General features: G+C 45.4%; 1 protein-coding gene across 42 annotated transcripts in view, besides 2 other annotated features; it reads right to left on the bottom strand.

The window, feature by feature from the left end:
• INPP4A (inositol polyphosphate-4-phosphatase type I A) overlaps positions 1 to 22,308 on the bottom strand; it is a 149,806-nt gene that overhangs the window by 90,486 nt on the left and 37,012 nt on the right. The gene's annotated exons all lie outside the window — the stretch shown is intronic.
• Positions 15,845 to 15,924: an enhancer, noted in NCBI's record as "active region_16265". NCBI's record gives its function as "activates an Ori minimal core promoter by ATAC-STARR-seq in GM12878 lymphoblastoid cells {active_cell/tissue: GM12878}" and the evidence as "EXISTENCE:reporter gene assay evidence [ECO:0000049][PMID:35858748]".
• Positions 20,559 to 20,678: an enhancer, noted in NCBI's record as "active region_16264". NCBI's record gives its function as "activates an Ori minimal core promoter by ATAC-STARR-seq in GM12878 lymphoblastoid cells {active_cell/tissue: GM12878}" and the evidence as "EXISTENCE:reporter gene assay evidence [ECO:0000049][PMID:35858748]".

Genomic DNA, 22,308 nt, shown 5'->3' with positions numbered 1-22,308 from the left:
TCATGCTCAACAGCAACATCTGCCTTCTTCTCATGTGGCACCTCTTCTCAACCAGCAGCAAAGATCAGGCTAATAGGGAAGGGACCAGGGCAGAAGACAGGAGCCCTGCCTGCAGGAGAAGGAGTCTCTGTCATCCTGTCACGCAAGCCTGGTTTGATGACCTGAAATGCCTTCTGATGAGAGTGTCCAAAGGAGTCTGTAATCTGGAACTGTCCATTCATCTGTTCAACAAGTACTGAGCTAGGCACTTACAGTGAACACACAAGTGAATCAGAAGTGATCTCTGCCTGCAAGAATCCAACAGTTTAATGATGGAGTAAAACATTCAGATAACACAACTCCAAGACAAAATGAGATGCATGCCCCATGCTGCTACAGAGGCAAGGAAGAAGCTTGAAATCTGGCAAAAGATGATCCAGATGAGGTGCGAGTTGATCTGACTTCAAAAGGAACAGGCACAGGTGCATCCAGCAACAAGCACTCACTCAGGAAACAGGAAAGTCTTGTGTATCAAGGACAGAGAATGGGGCTGGAGAGCCAGGACGAGGTCAATTCTGGAGATCCTTTAACACCAGACCACAGAGCTGGGTTTTAGCTTGCAGGCAGTGAAGAACTCCCTAGGATCTCAATTGTTCAAACCAATCTCAAAAGTCCTGGTACTCTCTTGGACTCTCCTACTGGGCTTTTGAAGACAAATCTCTTTCTCACTTGGGGCAAACCAGGGAGGAACCTGCCCACAAGAATTGCAATGAGCATCCCTTCTCACCAGCAAAGACAGACCCCTGCTCAGACCTGGCAAAGCTGGGTCAAGATGGCACCCACCACCACATGAACAGGCAACATTCACGACCAACACATAAAGGGCAACTCGTTTGTCCCAGGAGGTCTCCAGGGGTTCTAAAGGTCCATTTGTCATCAGCACAACTAAACCTAGTCCGTCCAAACTCCCTATCTCTGAAGGAAGCACTGATTCTGCAAATATAAAATAAAATCCAATAACTCAAAAACAACAAAAGAAACTAAAACCACTTGGGTAATTCAAGAGGGCAAGCAATTTCAGGTCTATTAATAAAACCCTTAGAGCAGGGCCATCTTTTGCCTTTGAGCTAGGTCTCCTTGGTGACCTCACCCATAAACAATGCAGTAGTGAGACTGCTCACAAAAGTCACAAGAACTATTTTCCCTTTGTTCCAGAAAGATTCCTAATCTGGTTGTGGTGCTGTTTCCATGGAAAATGCTAACGAGTAGGAATATCAATGTGAAAATAAGACAATGTTGAGGTACTTTCACCATTATCTCTTTCTCCAAATTTTACATCTGAGTTATGAGAGGGAGAGAATACATTGAGAACAAAGGCCCTCACAAAGTGTCTCCCTGTCACATATCATATGTAAAATTACCACCACCAAGAGCAGTGACAGTGAAAGCTAATTAAAATCTCTATGTGTGCTTTTACATTTTTTAAAACACTCTTGGTAGCTGGGAAATAAAGAGATCAGGGAAAATGTGACTTTGGAATTCATTTTTTAGAAGTATTCCCATCTCCCACTGGAAGAAACCTATAGAAAAACTAAAAACTGTAAACCAACATGTAGCCACCTCAAGCCCCCACTTACCACCCAACTTCAAGCCCTGCCTCTGTACATGCAAACCAGGACACTGACAGTGGAGCCACTGTGGGCAGGCCTCTGGCAGAAGGAATGCTCTCTCTCATCTGGAGAACTCAGCCAGCCCAGGAGAACACAGGTATCACCTAATGCCCTCAGGACTATCATCTGGCCCCATAACCAGGGTTCCGTGAGGACCAGACTCTTGGATGGCCAGATGCACACCCACTAGGAAGGTGTGAACAAATTCACATCATTCCAGAACAGTGTACCTGGGAGCAGGTGGGCACTGATGTACGAAGATAACTGAGGTCATAGATACCCACAGGATCAGTCAGAGAAACCTGCACAGGCCAAGACTAACACTAATGCTGCTGAACGCTTCACAGCACTGCTCAGCTCAGCAGTGCAGGGGCCAGACATGTTCTTCAACCACTAGTGAGACGCAGATAAATGTGATGGAAACGCAACTGATGTAGAGTTGGAGCCCCTGGGCTCTTGACCTGGTCCAGGTTTTAATTTATCAAATTCCAGGGAAATCACAAACTAGGCACTTCAGTGCCCCCTGCCAGATGTGGTCCCTTTCCCCAGCCCTCACCTCCCTCCCCCAGTCTATGATTCTGTGCTGGTGGAGTGCCCCAAATGGTAACAATGGTGTTTATTCTGTTTTGTCATTTGCTCCTAAAAACAAGGCCTGCCCCACCATAGGGAAATCATTACTCCCTGCCTCAGTGAGGGCATCAAGGTTCAGAGAATGGGGGGCTGGGGGGGTTCTTGACCTCAACATTCTGTGTACAACCAGCAAGGCTGGAAAGGGGCAGGACTTTGACTTCCACTGTCACCTCCCGAAGCTAGCATGGATACTACTACAGTATTTCCTGAACTACTGACACTCAGGAAATCATTGCTTCTACCATGACCTTGTACTGTGGTCCACAGGTTTTTCTTTAAATACATTTTTTTTTTGAGACAAAGTCTTGTTCTGTTGCCCAGGCTGGAGTGCAGTGGCACAATCCCGACTCACTGCAACCTCCACCTCCCGGGTTCAAGCAATTCTCCTGCCTCAGCGATTCTCCTGCCTCAGCCTCCCGAGCAGCTGGGACTACAGGCACATGCCACCACACCCAGCTAATTTTTGTATTTTTAGTAGAGACAAGGTTTCACCATGTTGGCCAGGCTGGTCTCAAACTCCTGACCTCAAGTGATCCGCCTGCCCCGGCCTCCCAAAAATATCCCAGTGCTGGGATTATAGGCCTGACCCACCGCACCTGGCCTAAACACATTTTTTAACTTAAATTTACTATATGGAATATTTTAAACTAGCTAAGTATTTAAGTATATATAAAACAAATTTAACTCTTCAAATATAAGGCTTGCAGCCATTCCACCAGTGGCAGTAACAAAGATTTTCTGCTTGGCCAAACTAGAGTCAGGTTCCTGAACCTTCTAGGCCCATCTGTGCACTTCTTTGTAAAATCCAGTTTTAGCAAAGAACCCTGCTGAGCCAGTTTAGCAAAAACCTCCCCTCCTCAATATCTGATTAGGTTCCTCTACCACCATTCCCTAGGTGATGTCTGATTGTCCTGGCCAGTTTAGCAAGAATCCTGTTAGGTGGGTTTAGCCAGAATCCACTTTACTCTCAATGTTTCCTCTTAGTAAGTTCCCATCCACTGACCCCCTACCCTGTTCCTAGACTACAAATTCCCACTTGCCCGTGCTGTATTGGGAGTTGAGCCCAATCTCCCCCCACCACTGCAAGCCCGTTGCTGTGGTCCCCATACCTATTGTGATGGTCCTGGATAAAGTCTTCCTTTATTCATATGTTTTCACAAGTATCACTGAATGACTTTTCTCTGGAACAGCAGACATGCCCTTTGGGAGACAATGGACCTGGAGCAGGATGCATGGAGGACAGCACGCCATCTCCATCCACAGCTGGATTTTGATTTCCTCCCTATTTTCCCCCCTCAAACAGTGGTGGCGGATCATCAAACAGACACCAACCAGCTGCTGGCTGTTGGAACCTCTGGCTCTCAGCTCACACCCCATGTCATAAAGTGGGGATAATATTCCCACCTTAGAAGTTCGCTGCAATCTCAAGTAAGAAAGCATGCGTGAGGACTCTGTATACCACAAGTTACTAAGTTAAATGACACTAGGCCTTACTAAGGGTCAAATGAGATACACGGGCAAAACTACCTTAAAAAGGTAGGAGTTAGGATTAAATGACACATTCTCTCTGGAGAATGACACGGCCTGAGGTTGTGACCACTGGGAAGGTTTCCCCCGGAATTAGATATGAGTCTGCCACTGACATCTTATATGGCTCCGCCAGACCCACGGACACAAGTACACCCTGCTGGACCCTGGGCTCAGGTTCACTCCAGCTGCAGGCTGGTCAGTTAGCCTGACACTTGCACCCTCCCCTACCATCACTGAAGGCCGTCAATCTAGCCAAGAAACTTACTACTTCTCCATAAAGGAGAATACTGTCCTTTTGTCCTTGAAAGTTACGATAGCCCAATTAAAAGACTTTATGTGTGAAGATAAGAGACATATAGGAACTCTCTGTACTTTCCACTCAATTTGTCTGTGAACTAAAACTGCTCTAAAAAAATTTAAGTTTATTAATTTTTAAAAAGGGACTTTCTGACACTAATTCCAAGGGGATTTTTTAGCTGCCCTGCCCTGTGTGGTTTAGAATAAAGGGAGAAAATAAGTAAGCCTCCAAACATATCAGTAGTTAAGCCTTTTAAGGCATAAATTTTGGAGTTCTGCATTCATCAGATTACTTGGAGCAACATTCAGAAAAGCCTTGAAATCTCAAATAAAGTTAAACAAATATAGCATTCTGCAGATCTTAAACAAGGCTAGATGAGAGGATTAAACCATGTAGTGAGGAAAGGTTTCTACAGGGAAGCTGCAAAGCAGTTCTAAAAATACTGTTTGATGATCCACCACCACTGTTTGAGGGGAGGAAACAGGGAGGAAATCAAAATCTGAAGCAAACCTGGCATTTCTGGGATAACTGCTGACATGCGATTCTGTTCCCCTGTATCACCGTGCTCACAACCCGACTCCACAGCAGGCTGACAGATGGCTTCTGTCACCAGGCTGGTCAGCAAACATATATGAAGAAGGGTAGAAAGAAGACAATCTCCAAAACAGTCTTTTTTATTTGTAATCATCATTCATGCTTGTGCTTTTATAATTTTGAGTGGGACTGCTTTCCTAGTTCCTCAGTGGGGCAGAATTGGCAAAAAGAGCATTGAGATTCCACATTAGACATGTGGATTAGTCTGCTCAGGTTGCCATAACAAAATCCCACAGACTAGGGGGCTTAAACAATAGATATTTATTTTCTTACAGTCCTGGAGGCTGGGAAGTCCAAGGTCAAGATGCCAGCTGATTCAGTTCCTGGTGAGGCCACTCTCTTTGGCTTACAGTCACCTTCTAGCTGTGTCCTCACATGGCCTTTTCTCTGTCATCTCTTTCATGAGGTCTCTTCTTATAAGGACACCAGTTCTATGAGATTAGGGTTCTACTTTTATGTCCTAATTTAACCTTAATTATCTCTTTACAGACGCCATCTCCAAATACGGTCACATTGGGGGTTAGTACTTCAACATATGAATCTGAAGGAGAGACACAATTCAGTCCTTAACACAGTGCTTTATGGATTGTATCTGCATCTTCCATCTTATCACCACCCAAATCCAGCACCTGAATTGGTGAGTGTTGCCAGTGAGAGGCCAAGAGCCAGAAGAGCCTGCTTCTGCTTGCAGAGGATGCACAGTTGTAATAGTTCGTTTTCATGCTGCTGATAAAGACATACCCAGGACTGGGTAATTTACAATCAAAAAGAGATTTAATGGACTCAGTTCCATGTGGTTGGGGAGGCCTCACAATCATAGCAGAAGGCAAAAGGCACATCTTACATCGCAGAAAGCAAGAGAGAATGAGAGCCAAGTGAAATGAGTTTCCCTTCATCAAACCATCAGATCTCATGAGACTTACTATCATGAGAACAGTATGGGAGAATCCACCCCCCATGATTCAGTTATCTCCCACAGGGTCCCCCCAACAACACATGGGAATTATGGGAGTACAATTCAACATGAGATCTGGGTAGGAACACAGAGCCAAACCATATCATTCCACCCCTGGCCCCTATCAAATCTCATGTCCTCACATTTTCAAAACCAATCATGCCTTCCCAACAGTCCCCCAAAGTCTTAACTCATTTCAGCATTAACTCAAAAGTCCACAGTCCAAAGTCTTATCTGAGACAAGGCACGTCCCTTCTGCCTATGAGCCTGTAAAATCAAAAGCAAGTTAGTTACTTTCTAGATACAATGGGGGTGCAGGTATTGGGTAAACACAGCCATTCCAAATGGGAGAAATTGGCCAAAATAAAGGGGCTACCGGTCCCAGGCAAGTCTGAAATCCAACAGGGCAGTCAAACCTTAAGGCTCCAAAATGATCTCCTTTGACTCCATGTCTCATATCCAGGTCATGCTGATGCAAGAGGTGGGCTTCCACAGCCTTGGGCAGTTGCGCCCAAGCTTCTGCACAGCAAAGCAGACAATCAACAGAGTGAAAAGACAAAATCAGAAGAAAATATTTGCAAACTACATATTAGACAAGGGGTTAACGTCAGAAACATACAAGGAACTCAAACAACTCAACTGCAGAAAACAAATAATCCAATTTAAAAATGGGCAAAAGATCTGAATAGACATTTCCCAAAAGAAGATGTGCAAATGGCCAGCAGGGTATAGTCCCCCTCCTGGCTCCTTTCATGGGCTAGCGTTGAGTGTCTGTGGCTTTTCCAGGTGTGTACAGTGAAAGCCATCAGTAGAGCTACTATTCTGGGCTCTGGAGGACAGTGGTCCTCTTCTCACAGCTCCACTAGGCGGTGCCCCATAGGAACTCTGTGTGGGGGCTCCCACCCCACATTTCCCTTCTGCACTGCCCTAGCAGAAATTCTTCATGAGGGCCCCACCTGTGCAGCAAACTTCTACCTGGACACCCAGGAGTTTCCATACAGCCTCTGAAATCTAGGCAGTGGTTCCCAAACCCCAATTCTTGACTTCTGTACACTGGCAGGCTCAAAACCATGTGGAAGCTGCCAAGGTTGAGGCTTGCACCCTCTGAAGCCACAGCCTGAGCTCTACCTTGGCCCCTTTCAGCCACGGCTAGAGCGGCTGGGACACAGGGCACCAAGTCCATATCAACAGTGAAGCAGAGAAACCTAACTCCCTCTCTTTCCTCCCCATATCTGACCTGCTAAGAGTAGGGTGGAAAAGAGCTTCCATCAAGCACTTCCCAGTGATAATTTCACTGAGTGCTCAGAGCCACATGTGAAACCCAGTGTCAGAGAGGGAAAAGCAACCAGCTCAAGGTCATAAAGCAGATAGCAGTAGAACCAGGACACTCCAACCCCAGATTATAAACTCCAGGCCCCAAGCTTCTTCCTCACTTTACAGCTGTTTCCTTAATTTGCATTTCCCTGATGATTAGTGATGTTGAGCATTTCTTCCTATACCTGTTGGCCATTTGCATGTCTTCTTTTGGGAAATGTCTATTCAGGTCTTTTGCCCATTTTTAAATTGGATTGTTTCCTGCAATTGAGTTGTTTGAGTTCCTTGTATGTTTCTGATGTTAACCCCTTGTCTAATGTATAGTTTGCAAATATTTTCTTCAATCCTGCAGTTTGTCTTTTCACTTTGTTGTTTCCTTTGCTGTGCAGAAGCTTTTTAGCTTAATGTAATGCCATTTTTCTATTTTTGCTTTTGTTGCCTGTGCTTTTGAGATCTTATTCAAAAAGCCTTGCCCGTACCAATGTCCTGAAGCGCCTCACCTATGTTTTCTTCAGCAGTTTCATAGTGTCAGTTCTCATATTTAAGTATTTAATTGATTTTGAGTTAATTTTTGTATATGGTAAGAAATAAGGGTCTAATTTCATTCTTCTGTACGTGGATATCCCATTTTCTCAACAGCATTTATTGGAGACTATAAGCCAAAAATGTAATTCTAAGCCCCTCAAGCAACTGAACTGGACCCCTCCTCTTGGAGAGGAGCATTTCAAAGTAAACCCGAATATCTAGTTAAGGCTATGATGGGAAGAGGAGGTTGGACATGTCTCATTTATACCCTCCTCCCTTTGAAATTTAGGCACAATTGACCAGCATTAACATTAAAACAGAGGCCTTAAGACTGATAAAACAGAGATCTTAAAACTGACTCTCTGCAGTAATAAGACACCAGATTCCAGCCTGACTCCAGTATAGCATCACATGACAGATAGCAGGCCCTGAAAGAAATCAAAATATTTTACTCCAAAATATATTTATTTGACATACTATGAAGTAGCCCTGCAAAGCTGTCTCTTGTGGGGAAAAATCTACATTCTGTAGAGAATCCCCTTCCCTTTCCAGGTCTTTTTCCTGACCCGGGAGAGAATTAACTAAGAGTCTGGCACGATTTTAGGTCGTATAAGAGCTCTAAAGCCTACTACCTGGAAGCTGCATCTGCATGATAAAACCCTGGTCTCCACAACCCCTTATCTTAACCCAAACAATCCCTTCTATGATTCCAGGTCTTCAGGTAATAACTTAACACTTTCAACCGTCAATCAGAAAATCTCTGAATCCACCTATAAGCTGAAGTCCCATCATTTCAAGTTGTCCCGGACCAAACTAATATACATCTTACATGTACTGATTGATATCTTATGTCTCCTTAAAACATATAAAACTAAGTTGTAGCCTGACCACCTTGGGCACATGTTCTCAGGATCTCCTGGGGCTGGTCACTCATATTTGGCTCAGAATAAATCTCTTCAAATATTTTACAGAGTTTGACTCTTCACTGACAACACTGTCCTTTCCCCATTGCCTGTTCTTGGCACCTTTGTCAAAAATAAGTTGGCTACAAATGTATAAATTTATTTCTGGGCACCAGTAAGGTACTGGTATAAAAATAGACACGTAGACCAGTGGAACAAATATAATAGCAGTTTTAAAGTCTTTGTTAAGCCCAACATCTGTGTCCTCTCCCAGGAAGATTCTGTTGCCTGCTTTTTTTCTGTCATACCCATTTTTCTGTCATTATTTCTTTGCATATCTTATAATTTTGTGTTGAAAATGACATCTTAGCTAAGACACTGTAGCAACTCTGGATACTACAAGCCCCTCTATCCCAGGGCTTGTTTTTGTTTGCTTATTTTTTCAATGACTTGGCTGGACTCCTGTGGTGAAGTATATTCCCCTCCCCACCCAACCTCTGATTTTGCTCCTCATGGGGGCACAGCCTTGAGTGAACACACATTCTCTCTGGGATGACAATCATTTTATCAGGGCTGTCTGTATCTTCCCTAATCTCTTTGTTAAGCTGTCTGCCTCTGGTGTTTTCATACCCAGCTGTTAGACCCCACTAATTGCTGCCTGATTGCTCTATTGTTTTTGACAACTGCCTAGGGCATACATTGTTCTACATTTTATCTAATTAAATGGAGACCTTTCACAGGGATAGTTTTTGATGTCAGAGTTTGAGGTTTGTTCTGATCCCAGACACTCTTTACTGTCTCTTTCCTGGTCTCTGGCCCAAGCTTTTGCCTATTGCTTATCGGCCTCTTATTAATTACCACCAAACTCTCCATTTTTTTTTTTTTAGAACACCCTTAGGCTTGAACTTTCCCTACACTTTTATAAACAAAGTCAGTATCTTTCAGAGAGCTTCAGAGCTTTCTGTTATTATAGCCTACCTCTCCTACTTGGGAAAATGTTGGAGTCACTGTTCTAGAGCTGGGCGCACAGACTGTGTCCCACTTCTCTCGGAGTGACACTTCCACTTTATGAACAGGGTGCTGGATGGGAGCAGTAGCCTTTGCTCTTCTTGGCTTGATTCTCCAAGGATGGAACCTCTGCCCTACAAACTAGCTGGACTGACAAAGGGCAACTGGGGACCCATTATTCTCAGCCTCAGGTAGAACCTCTGCCCTATGAGTAGGGGCTAGCCACATTCTCCTGGAATTTAGCCTCTGCAACATGCAGCCTTGCTGGAGGTAGGGGGATGCTGACAGCCTGCCCTCCTGGGGAGATACCATAGCCCTTGATGGGAACTTAGGGGAAAGGGAACCCAGTCTTCTTGGTCACTCTTCATAGCTTCTCTCATGCTGAGCTGGGCAGCGGATGGGAAAAGAGAAGGAAGGAGCAGGTTCTGGCTCAAGTGCCACAGACATCTGCTATTCTTACTGAGATCTAGCAGATTTTCTTGAATAAATGTTTCTTCATGTGCTGTATGCCCTTAGGATATACGGCAAATTTCCAAGTTTGGTTGTTTTCTTAAAATAATTTTTATCAGTTATTGTTTCACTGAGCAACAAGTCCACACAGCCCCTAACACCACCATTCCAGAAGTGAATCCCAATAAAATTTAATCTTAATTTCTTTATTCTTAATCAACAAAATGTTATACTCAAAGTTCCTTCCTGCTTAATATCCCATGTTAGGGAAGCTGGCATTAACCTGGTGAATATGAACTCTACACTCCATGTAGAGTTCTGCCTCCCCAGATAGAATTAAACCGTGCTTTTAAAAAGACATTATTTTGGGGCTGAGGCTGTAATCCCAGCACTTTGGGAAGCCAAGGCAGGCAGACTGCTTGAGCTCATAAGTTTAAGACCAGCCTGGGCAACATAGCGAAACCCTGTCTCTACAAAAAAATACAAAAATTAGCCAGGCGTGGAGGTGCACACCTGTAGTCCCAGCTACTTGGGAGGCTGAAGTGAGTGGATCTCGAGCCTGGGAGGTTGAGGCTGCAGCATGGATGACAGAGGGAAACCCTGTCTCAAAAAAAAAAAAAAAAAATAGAAATAGAAAAATAACAGTCACCCAGACATATATCCTGATTAGTAAATAAGCTGAAAATAAGAGGAAAACTTAGTATCATGAGAGGTGTGTGATCATCAGTCACCAGGAAGTCGGGGTAGGCAGACAAGCCACATCTCCCTCGAAGTAGCTCCCTGGACACGTAGGGGGCTCAGTTCCCACTCACAACCAACATCCAAAAAAAGGGCTCACCCTTTCCAAAAAACACAGGGCTCAGGGAACCCAGCATAGGGGCAAAGGGAGTCACCAACATGTTCTTGGAAGTCCCCAAGTGTTGTCCAATCTTCAAGGACAGAAGACTGTTCTCAGAATCCAAATTAAGGAGGAAATGTGACGCCACCAGCCAACCACGTCCACCTGATGGGCAGCTGGTGGAGGGTCTTTCAGGCTGAAGCTCCAGGATAAAACCATTGCCCATAATATCAGGGGAGAAAACAGAGACACTGGCTCCAATGCTGGCTCTGTCATGTAGGAGGTGCTGCAGAACTGAACTGGACTCCAGGACCCCTCCAGCCCCAGGCTCCTTATCTATTAAATGGGAATTCTCAATAGCCTGCAAGATCCAAAGTCAGTACTTGGCAAACCATAGCTGCTATCACTCTGGACAGGAGTCCTGGCTAGGCTCTGTTTTCCCAGTGAGTCCCTCAGATATCGAACTGATACAAGACAGTCCAAGAGTTATGCTTCCTGTACAGGCCCCATGGGCACCCTTTCTAGAGCCAGCTCCTGCTTTCACCTCCCCCTGGGACCTGAGTGTGCTTGCCTTCATGATCACACCAATCCAGTCATCCCTAAAGGGCTCCCAGGTCTCTAGAGCCCCGCTCTCTCACCCCTTTGAGATCTCCTCCTAGCCAGCTGAAAGCAGGATCGATTCTATGAGTAAGACAGGAATGAGTAAAGGCCTAATGCATTGGCCCTCCCAGGGGTAGCACATCAATAGAGCCAACCCCTTCAGACAAGAGAGATGTTATAGTAGGAAAATCTCTAGCAGCAGCTCCTGGCCAGTGAGATACAACTTGGGTAGAAACTTCATAAAAAGCAAACCATGCTAGGAGAAAATTTTTCTATCATGTACTACAGACAGTCCCCAACTTACAAGAGTTCAATGATTTTTCGACTTTAGGATGGTGTGAAATTCACTCAGTATGCTTCTCAACTTACAATGGTGTTACATCCCAAAAAACCTATCATAAGACCAAAACATCAGAAGTAAAAAATGCAGTTGTCGGTGGCTCACACCGGTAATCCCAGCAGTTTGGGAGGCTGAGGCGCGCGGATCATGTGAGGTCAGTGTTCGAGATCAGCCTGGCCAATATGGTGAAACCCCATCACTACTGAAAATACAAAAATTAGCTGGGCATGGTGGTTCATGCCTATAATCCCAGCTATTCAAGAGGCTGAGGCATGAGAATCACTTGAGCCCAGGGGGCAGAGGCTGCAGTGAGCTGAGATCGCGCCACTGTACTCTAGCCCAGGTGACAGAGCAAGATTCTGTCTCAAAAAAAAAAATGCACTTGTGACATATGATATTTTGAACTTATGAGTTTGTGGGGATGCAGCCCCATCGTTAAGTCGAGGAGCATCTGTATATTCTTCCCTGATTTTAAAGACAATTCTGAACTAGAGAATCACAACACAGTTAAAATGCTGTACAGATCCAACCCTGCCCATGACTGTGTGCCCCTAAGGGTCATTTCCCTGCGCTCCATTGTCTGCTCATCTCTGATATGGGGACGAAAATGAACATGACTCAGGTAGGTGACTGTGTACAAAGTGCCTTCTCTTGGGATGCACAGGACTGCAGATCTTATTAAACGCACCTGGCTTGCTGCACCTTTTCAGTTTTCAAACTATTCACTGTGATGGGCTCACCTTCCTCACTTGCCACCAGGTAATCAGCTTTCAATTTTCCTGTCAAGGGAAACGTGCGGCTTCTTCCTGGTTGGAGGCCTGGAAACCACATCATCCAGACGAGAGCATGAGTAAATGCTTTAAAAAGAAGAGCCAATGGTGAGGGCCTGGGGGTGTAAATGGGGACTCAGGGCACTCAGCTGACTTTCTGCTCCCCAGGCCCTACGTGGCGCTGCGTCCAGGATGGCTGCTCATGAGACCCTCGGGTCAGGGAGCAGCATGCTTTCAGGGAAGTGGTTGCTGAAAATAGAAACTTTAATCCAAACAGAAAAATCTGCCATCTGACTATGTTACTACCCACGATGTGAAAATCCTAAGGAAGTGCACAAAGCTCCTCCTCCGCCCCCTTTTTGGAAATACAATTTGTTTTTGATTAACTGGGTCTCTGCTGCAAGCCGACATAGGCAGAACTTGTTGTTCCTACTATTGTCTGTCTGACCCAGTTTGGGTTTTGAATTTTTTTCTCTGTCAACATTTAAAAAAGTAACCTCATTTTATTTTTTTCTACTGTAATTTTTTAAATTAAAATGCTATCATTAAAATGTTTATTTTCTTTGGAAAGGGTTTTCGTTTTGTTTTCAAAGCAGAAAGAGTCCAGATGTTGTAAAATAATAATTTTGGAAAACAAACAAAAGCCCCTCATGACTTGTTATGACAGCCAAAGGACTGATTAAACTCAAGCTGTTGTTTGGCCGGAGGCAGGCAGAGGATCTCCATCCCCACCAGCTGCAGGTGACTGTTGGAGATTCTGGCCTCATCTACTCGGAGGCCCAGGCGTCACACAGGTGGGTGGCAATTCTAGGGCAAGATGTGGAGTCCTAGTTTCAAACAGAAGAAGAGAGGAAGGAAAGTATCTCCACGAGAACAATAAAGGGGTCAGGACTAAACCAGGTCGCAAATACCTCTGGAGTATGTCACATATGAACCAGTGAAGTGTCAAACTCCCTCACCTGAAACCCCGGGTTCCATCTCCATATATAACCATGATACCACAGGTGCAGGGACTTGAGGTACCTCTGTGAGGCCCAATGGAGGAGACCGCTGAGGGATGGACACAGCTCCTCCCACAGGGCACCTTCGTCTTCACACAAGATGCCTTTCTCCAGGGCCAAGGGCTGTTTCTGAAACCACCTTCTCCTCCTCTGCTTGTAGAGATTCCCATGTGATATGCAGCATGCTCAGAAAAAGGAAACCGGATGAGACACCCAGCCCTTCAAGTGATGCCCAATTTTCTGGGATGCTCGCTGTTGCTGTGTCCAGCCTGCTCTGCCCCCGGTCTTCTCCATCTCAGCAATGGCACTGCCATTCTCCAAGTAAGCGGCCATGCCAAACACATGGAGTCTTCCTGCTTCCTGTCAGTCCCTCCCTCCCTCATGCCCAAGCCATCTACAAGACTGAGAGGCACACCCAGACCCGGAGCACCTCTCACCATGGTCACAGCCCCAACCTCAGTGCCAGCCACTACACCTTAAGAGGTTACAAGGAGTTCTGCATTAGCTCCATCACCCTAGGCCCTTCTAAAGTGTCCTCCTCACTCCACAAGCACTTGGATCCTACAGGGATGTCAATCCCATATGGAAGGAGAAGAAAAGGCAGATAGAATCTTGCAGCTGCATGGGGTGGGGGGTGGGGGGGTATATAAACCCTATGTGTAATTCCACATGATTCAAGGACAAAAACTCAGATCAAATAGTTAAAGGTGCCCTACTTCGTCTCCCTCCCAGAAACAAATTACCTCTCCATAGTTACAGACTAGAGAAAACATTTCTGTGCACCCTCTCCAGAAGAAGAGGAAGCAGAGTTTGCTATGCCAAAGAGGAAGCATTAAGGCCAAATTCCCCTCAGAATGGGACTGTCATAGTAGAGGGGACCTCAGGGGTCCATCACAGAGGTTCAGAATCTCCAGGATAAAAGACCCTATACTGCTTGGTACCAATGTTATCGACAGACGGTGTGTAAATGACAGCCCTCACTTGGTGCCTCAGCATCCTAGGGCCCCTCTGAGTCATCTGACATGACAGGGAATCTCTGCTTCCCAACATCAAGGGACAGGGACAGGTTCAAGCCAGGGCTGGGTGTTGGCATATCCCTCCACTCTGCAGCCTTGTCAGTTTTATCCACTAAGGCCATCCAGGAGATGATGCCAAAACCCCTCTTGGCCTGGCCCTAATGACACTCCTAAGGCCCAGTCCTGTATTTCCAAGTTACCCAGTCACCCGCCCCTGAACTCCTGGTATCCACTGAGACCCGAGACCACATTCCCTTCAGAACTGGCTCCTCCTGATTTCTCTCCCTTCCAGGTACCACCATTCTTGGGAGCTCAGATGTATCTGACACCTCTTTCCAACCATCAACCAAACTGGTCAGTCACTGAGTTCTGTCCCCTCTTTGAGACTCTCTGCTTTTGTCACCCTCTTTTTCACTATTCCCATCATCACCCCACAGAGCTAAGGCAACAGGCTCCAAACCAGCCTCCTAGTAAGGCTGACAGCCAACAAACTACACCATTTACACACACACACACACACACACACACACACACACACACACACACACACAGTGCATGTACTCAAAAGCAAGAATCCAAAGTCCTTAGGTTGCATTGTGAGGCTTCCATTCAGTCCTCTGTGCTTGAAACTTTCACAACACTCCCTACTCCACCCCCTCCAGCCCGCAGGAACCAGTACCAACCCAGTCTCCTGGTCCTTTCCCTGAACTTCAGTCTCAAGCAACTCCCCTCTCCAAGGAGCTCCCACTTGCTTCCTGTCTACATAGCTTCTCGTGTGTCCAAAATATTTTCCCCTCTGGTTTTTTCCTCTGGTTAGGTTTTACTGCTTTTGACCTAGAGCCACTACAGGACTCAGAGAGGAACTAGCAGAACTCATTTATTCAAGATCTTTTTACTGCATCTCCACCATGAGCTGGTGAGAGGGTGAGTGACTTCAGAGTGAGTGCCTGTGCATAAAGACATCACCGTGACAGAGACAATTTCGGGTACAGAACTCCGAATGAGGTGCACAACAGGTCTGCAACTAGAAAACTGTGTGGGTAAAGCCCAAGAAGGAAACACAGAACTGGCAAATGGAGAGAAATCCTCAGGTAGTTCTTGCTGCCGCTGCCATTTGGATGCTTTGCTTTTGCTCAGCTGAGTACACATAAATTGAGATTACAATAACTTTAGCCACTTGGCACCCATATCTTGATTTCTAAGACTACACTCCAATAAAAGGGATGAGGGTTCTGTGGAGAAATGGGTGATTCTAGGGCTGGGATAGGAGATACACAAGATGAGCCTGGAGTATCTTGCAGTGCCAATAAGGAAGTACTCAAAAATCAAACAACCCACAATAATGGAGGTATGTCAGAGGAACACGAGCTAACTGAAAGAGCCCCCAGTGGCCAAAGCTGGAACAATCTGAGCAACACAATGAATACCCTAGTACTGGATTACATAAAAGTTGATCATATGGATTGGGTTATTCCTGTCATATCCAACTAAAACAGAATCAAGAAGCCAAGCAGGGACAGAGCACCCTGGGCACGTAACACTGCCACAGGAAGGTAATTCTCCGCAAGTCCAGCTGCTGAAACTGCCTATTGTGACCTGAAACCAGTTTTATCTAATAGCTACTGAAACAAGCTGCTGTGAGTCTAAGAATAGTTTTACACTCACCAATCAGAGCTTGCCAGCTCCTCGAAACATTACTAGTACCAATGAACTGTCTCTCAAAACAATGGGTAACATTTCTGCTTTTTATAAAACCTCCAACCTTCTTTGTTCTTCAGACATATGGAAGACCATCCAGTCTGTGTATATGCCCAGAACTGCAATTCTTGCTTCCCAAATAAAACAGAGAATTGTCTCTATATTTGACTCAACTTTGACAATTATAACCCAAATAACAACAACAACAAAAAAACCATTGAGTCCATATTGATATAAATGACTAAATAAATAAGACAGGCCAGGCATGGTGGCTCACGCCTGAAATCCCAGCACTTTGGGAGGCTGAGGCAGGCTAATTGCTTGAGTCCAAGAGTTTGAGACCAGTGTAGGCAACATAGCAAGACCTTGTCTCAAAAAAAATAAATAAATAAGATAAAATAAAAATTGATTCTGTCTCTAAACACTGTCAAGGTCATCAAAAACAAGGAAATTCTGAGAAACTCACAACCACAAGGAGCCTAGGGAGATATGACAAATACACATAACATGGTATCCTGGATAGAATCCCAGAACAGAAAAAGACAATTAGGTTAAAAACTAGGGAAATGTGAATAAAACATGGAATTTGGTGAATAATGTATCAATTTTGGTTACAATTAACACACTACAATGTACCATGGTGATTAACATGTTAACAACAGCCTGGCAGGAGGTATCATATGGGAGAACTTCAGGCACTCTTTGCAACTTTTCTGTATATCTAAAACTATTCTAAAATTTAAAAGTTTATTTAACAAGCAACCTTAGCTCTGAATCAACTAGTCTTTGCTTTTTTTCCCCTTTTTTCTTTTAAGAGCAAGGATGGTAAGCCACATTTTATATCTCCACAGTACTTAGCTATCCCTGGCCTCTGTAGGCGCCAATCACTGCACATTTGTGGGCTGGCATTTGCTTCTAGACTCAGCCTTGCCCGCCCCTGTCACTGGCAGAGGCCACTGTGCAGCATTCCAGGTCAGGGCCCACAGATTCCTCCCACATCAGCTCCCTCCAGGCTGAGGCCATGAGAGGAGTACCATCAGACACCCAAGAGGCGGTTAGTGTTTGCAGAACCCTCTCTGCCTTGCCTTTTATGTAATCTGGCCTTCTAAGAATTAATTTTACTCCTGGACTCCTGATGTAACCTGTATGCAAAAATCCAGCCCCACACCCTAAAAGCTCTTTGATCTGGACCAGGTGTTCCTCACCCCAGACCTCAGGCCCTGTGGGCAACTGAGGAACTTCTGCCAGAACAGGAACCCCTGGGTTTCCACGCCTTTTTAGGCCATTTCAGATGCATCGCTGCTTTGGGGACAGGGAGGGTCAGGAAGGTGTGGAAAAGTGAAGCCTCATCTTTCAGAAGATAACCAAGAGCAAGGAAAGGAGAAAGACAGAGGAAGCAAAGCAAACAGAGAGGACAGGGAAGCACAGGCCTAGACAAGGAAGAGGATTTTCCAAACTTCCTAGACTTTTGGGACCCCAGAGAGTTCACAGCAGCTCTGCTGCTTCACACAGCATCACCAGCATATATCTGATTCTTACATTACAATATTTGTGCCTTCCATAGAAATGGGCCCAATTAATGAGTGAGACTCCAGGAAAGAGCATCAATTAGTCAACACAATTACAGTACCCCATGAAGTATCCAGAAAAAAAGCTAGAAATCCAACTTTCCATTATAGAGAGGAGAAACCTCCTCCCAGAGACCCAAGGAAGCAGTAGCCTGTGCCCTACTGTGTGGGACTCTGGCAAATCTCCCACTGAAGGTCCTGACTCAAAACTTTCAAGCAGGCCTGACTCTAGTTTAACCTTTTCATCTGGAGGCCCCCTCCCCTTATTTGAACAAGCAGTAAAGAAGAGTGTCTGGAAATCACAGCAACTCTTTCAATAAAACTTAATGTTTATGAAGAAAAATACTCAATTTAAGTGGTTAGCAACCAGCAATATTTTAGTACTTTAGACACGATATTTCAAATAGATGTCTATTTTCTCAGTCACAGATTCACCTCAAGAAAGTTTTGTATTATAAAAACAAAACTCTGTAACCATTCCAAGGGTGATGAATCAAAAAAGTTCCCACACATCTCATTTAAAAATCAAAATACTTTCAAATATTTAAATACCTACACCCTGAAATCAACAAAATAAAGGAACTCTCAGCTGGGTTCTCACCACCAGAAGAGTTGCATTAGTGTTCCCGAAGCGAGAGTGAGCCCTGAGTCTCGGAGGGACAACCAGACACCTGCGCCCAGCCCTAGGGGCTTTCAAGAAATCTGACTGTGGCCAACCTAGGGCAGTAAGCTGGATATGTTAAAAAGAAAGATGATTGCCATAGTTCTCTTACTGCAGGCTTGGAAAATATAGAGAGGGAAACCCCACCCCCCACAGATACCTTAACTAAAATCAGTTCTGACTTGGATATTCTACACAGATAAGATCAGCAAGTACACAAGATTTGGCATCCTGCCTTTTCACCTGAATCTTAGACTGTGAACATATTTCACGCTGCAACCAGACCGCATGATTATAACAGGTTTTTATTTCAGTCTAAAATGTTTCTTACAAAGAAGTAACATTTCTTCAGCTCTTCAGCAGCCACGGGCCTGCAAGCAGCAAGGACCCTGCATGATCAGGATGGTCTCCACTACCACAAAAGCTGAGGTCACACTCATTTAGATCCCAACCGCCCCGCCAAGCAGATGTGCGGAGCTGGAGTTTACTCAGCTACCAGGACACACACACACTCTGTTCGCTTCAAGAGGCCAGCCAAGTGAGAGAAAAGCCACTGATTGGAAGACTGAAGCCACTACTCTCGGTGGGATCTCAGACAAGGATGCTCACTGCAGCATTACCTGTACTATAAAGGATTTTATACCATAAATTGAAAGATTAAATAGCAGCCTACAAGCCTGTCAGGGAAATGGTAAATAATGGCTCCGTCATATGTGAATACCATATAGACATTTGAAATGGAAATCAGTTTTATGACAACTTGACAAGCGAAAAAGTCAGATTCTAAGTAAGATCTACCAATATAAAGACATAGAAGCACTCACGCGGAGTGGGAGAGAGGAAAAGAACACGTATAAAAATGTTAAGCACTGGGAGATGGACACATCATGCTTTTCTGGTTTTCTTCCTCTAGACTATGTTTTACTAAACCCTTTATAGTAAGTATGCAAAATTTTAATAACTGGGGAACTGTACCATCCTTAGGTTGTTTAGTGCCTCTCTGGGGCTGAATTCATCTCAGCTGGAAGGGCTCTCCTTCCACAGGCTGCCTCGAATCCCTCACACCCTCTCAGGGCCCTGTGCATGGCTTCCCACCCCAGTCACGTGACTGCATTCTGGACTTTGAGCTCATCAGGAAAGTAACTGGGGCTTGGTCTTCCCTGACTGCAGGATCATGGGAAACAAAGATACAGTGAGCCTGACAGGGAGGAGAGGGAACCAGAACAGGCCACACAGGAGGAACGGAGATGGGAGTTCATAAGGCTTGTGGGCAACTAGGGGGAGTGGGCAGCCTCGGGAATGACCATGGGAGAGGAAGCTGAAGGCTAGCGGCTCAGTAACAACAGACTCATCCCTGCAGACAGAGTCATCAGAAGGTGATGGGACCTCAGAGACCTCTGGGGCCAGGGGTAACATGGAGTGATGCAGGGGAGGGACAGGAGTGGAGGGGATGGTAGTCACCGGTCAAAGCGAAAGAGATTCCAAGCCCACCTCTGGAGAGAGACAGGACATGCAGAGAAAGGACCTCACTCCATTTAGAGGCCTCTGGCTCTTCTGGGAGAACCAGCCATCTTTCAGTTATGTGAAGAGATGGGGTGTGGGCAGGGGCATCTGCAAGGAGGGATGGGGGTGCAGGAGCTTCTTTATGCAAAGGTGGAGGCTCAGGCAAGAGGGTGGAGAGGAAGACCGGACTTCACTAGACTGACTACAGATGCAGTCCATCTGTTGGGTGCAGCCAATGTGCAACCTTGGCTAGCCACACAGAAGAGGGTCTCCCTCTCAACCATCCATGGGAGCAGAGTAGCCAACAGGAAGGTGGGGTAGGGACAGGAAGAGAAAGGACTGAGAGCTGGTCCACGCTGCTATGTTTAGGCAGGGCTCAGAAGTAATACTAATGATGAGGTGTTTTGAGGCATGGACCACAGGGACATTCAGTGTAGGATGAACCTGCCTGAAGGAAGCCAACTCTGCAACAAAGATGGACACAGACTAGCCTGCCCTTCCCACTGGCAGTGGCGACAGATCCCACATGCAGCAAGACATTAGAAAGACAAGACCGGGGGGGAACATGATCCATCAGGACTTGGCCCCACAGCAGCCCCACCTTGCACTTGACCATCTCTGCCCCGCCTGGGGCAGCCCTGCAGCCACAAGCCCAGTTTCAAGAAATACCTGTTTCTGACCACAAGCATCACAAGAGTGAAACTAAGCAATGCTTGCTTCCTGTCTCCTAGCACGAAAACTAGTAGGACTGACTGGGTCACAAAACACAAAGAATTCGATGAATGGAAAAAATGAAAAGCAAATTTGGGGTAATGGTAACCTAGAGAGAAGGTGGGAAGGCATATGTAGTTTCAAGTGTATTGGTCATGAAAATGTCTAAAGCTGAGTTGCGATTCACTGTATTGTTATTCCTATCATTTTTCACATAAAGGACTGCCTAATAAACATTTTATTATTATAGAGTACATGCCAAAATCATTATTAGCACAGGTTGAGTATCCCTTATCTGAAATACTTGACACCAGAAGTGGTTAGGGTTTGGAATTTTTTTAAGATTTTGAAATATTTGCATTATATACGTACAGATTCAGCACACCTAATCCAAAAATCTGAAATCCAAAATGCTCCAATAAGCATTTCCTCTGAAGGTCATGTCAGTGCTAAAAAAGTGTCAGGTTTGGAAGTACTTCAAATTTTGGATTTTCAGATCAGGGATGTTCAACCTCTATTATGCTTTCACTTATTTTCAAAAAAGCAATGTAAGTATAATTTTTTCAAGTGTAAGCTTAGATCAAAAGCTTTGCATTTCTCTTAAATGCAAGAGGACACATATATCTTTTTGCATCACATCCCAGGGTTGCTCAGAGGCTCATCCCTGGATGTCAACCACACTTGCCTACTGTCAGCACTGACTGGCTGGTCGCTGGCCTCCCTGTGACAGGCCCACTGGGGAGACACCTCCATTCTGGCAGGTGTGACAAGTGGAGGGGCCATTGCACAGAGGCCCACAGCTGCCCCTCTCTGCTTTCCAGGACAGCCAGTTGCACCTGCCTCTAGGTGCCCACCTTTCTGTTGGCTGCTTTCGTTTTTAATCCCACTCTTCTTCAGACTGCCCTCCTTGCAGGGCCCCATATTCTGAACCAGGTGCAACCAATCCTAACATCCCTTGAGGCCCTGCTCTGACTGGTGCCAATAAGCTAAACCACAGCTGGCCAAGATAGGAAAAGTGATTTAACCTGCTGTCCCTCTAGGATGGGATTTTACCCAGATCTCCAGAGTCTCAGCCCAATAATGTGGGAACCACAGGTGTAAAGGCAAAGAGGAAAAAAGCAGGATACAGAAAACATTTTACAGCAAGGTGGCCCAACAGGGTCCCTCACATCACCTGCTGTGCCACTTTAACGTGGCTTCTGCTTAAATTTCAAGTTTAAAAAATTATATTTATTTTAAAGACAGGATCTTACTCTGTCAACTAAACTGGTCTCAAACTCCTTGCCTCAAGTGATCCTCCCACTGCAGCTTCCCAAAAAACTGGGATTACAGGTGTGAGCCTAAACTTGGAGCTTTTAAAGTACACAGTGTTGAGTTGTTAAGCCAGGACAAGACATCAAACAATCCAACTCCAACATGGCAAACTCGTAATGAAGGGAGAAGGAGAGGCAAAGGTGCTGCTGAGAAAACCTTTCACTAGAGAACGGAAAGCCCAGCCAGAGGTGGTGCGTGGACAGGGAGCACCCTGAAGACCAGCAAGCTAGCTGACACTCAAGGCCAGCTGAGCATCACATTTACAGGCTGTCACAGCCTCCCTGTCTTCCTGGGATTCTGCAAAACACAATTCCACAGGGAGGACAAGCACTTAGAATTCTCCCCTGGTACAAAGCCTGCTTGCTCACATTGGATCACTTGGAAACATAATAAATCCTTCCTTCCCCATTAATCTGTTACTGAGGCTCAATGT

The sequence above is a fragment of the Homo sapiens genome, chromosome 2, assembly GCF_000001405.40.
Source record: "Homo sapiens chromosome 2, GRCh38.p14 Primary Assembly".
Classification (NCBI taxonomy): Eukaryota; Metazoa; Chordata; class Mammalia; order Primates; family Hominidae; genus Homo; species Homo sapiens.
The sequence above is the reverse complement of the archived record's forward strand: the minus strand, read 5'-3'. Positions and strand labels throughout refer to the sequence as shown.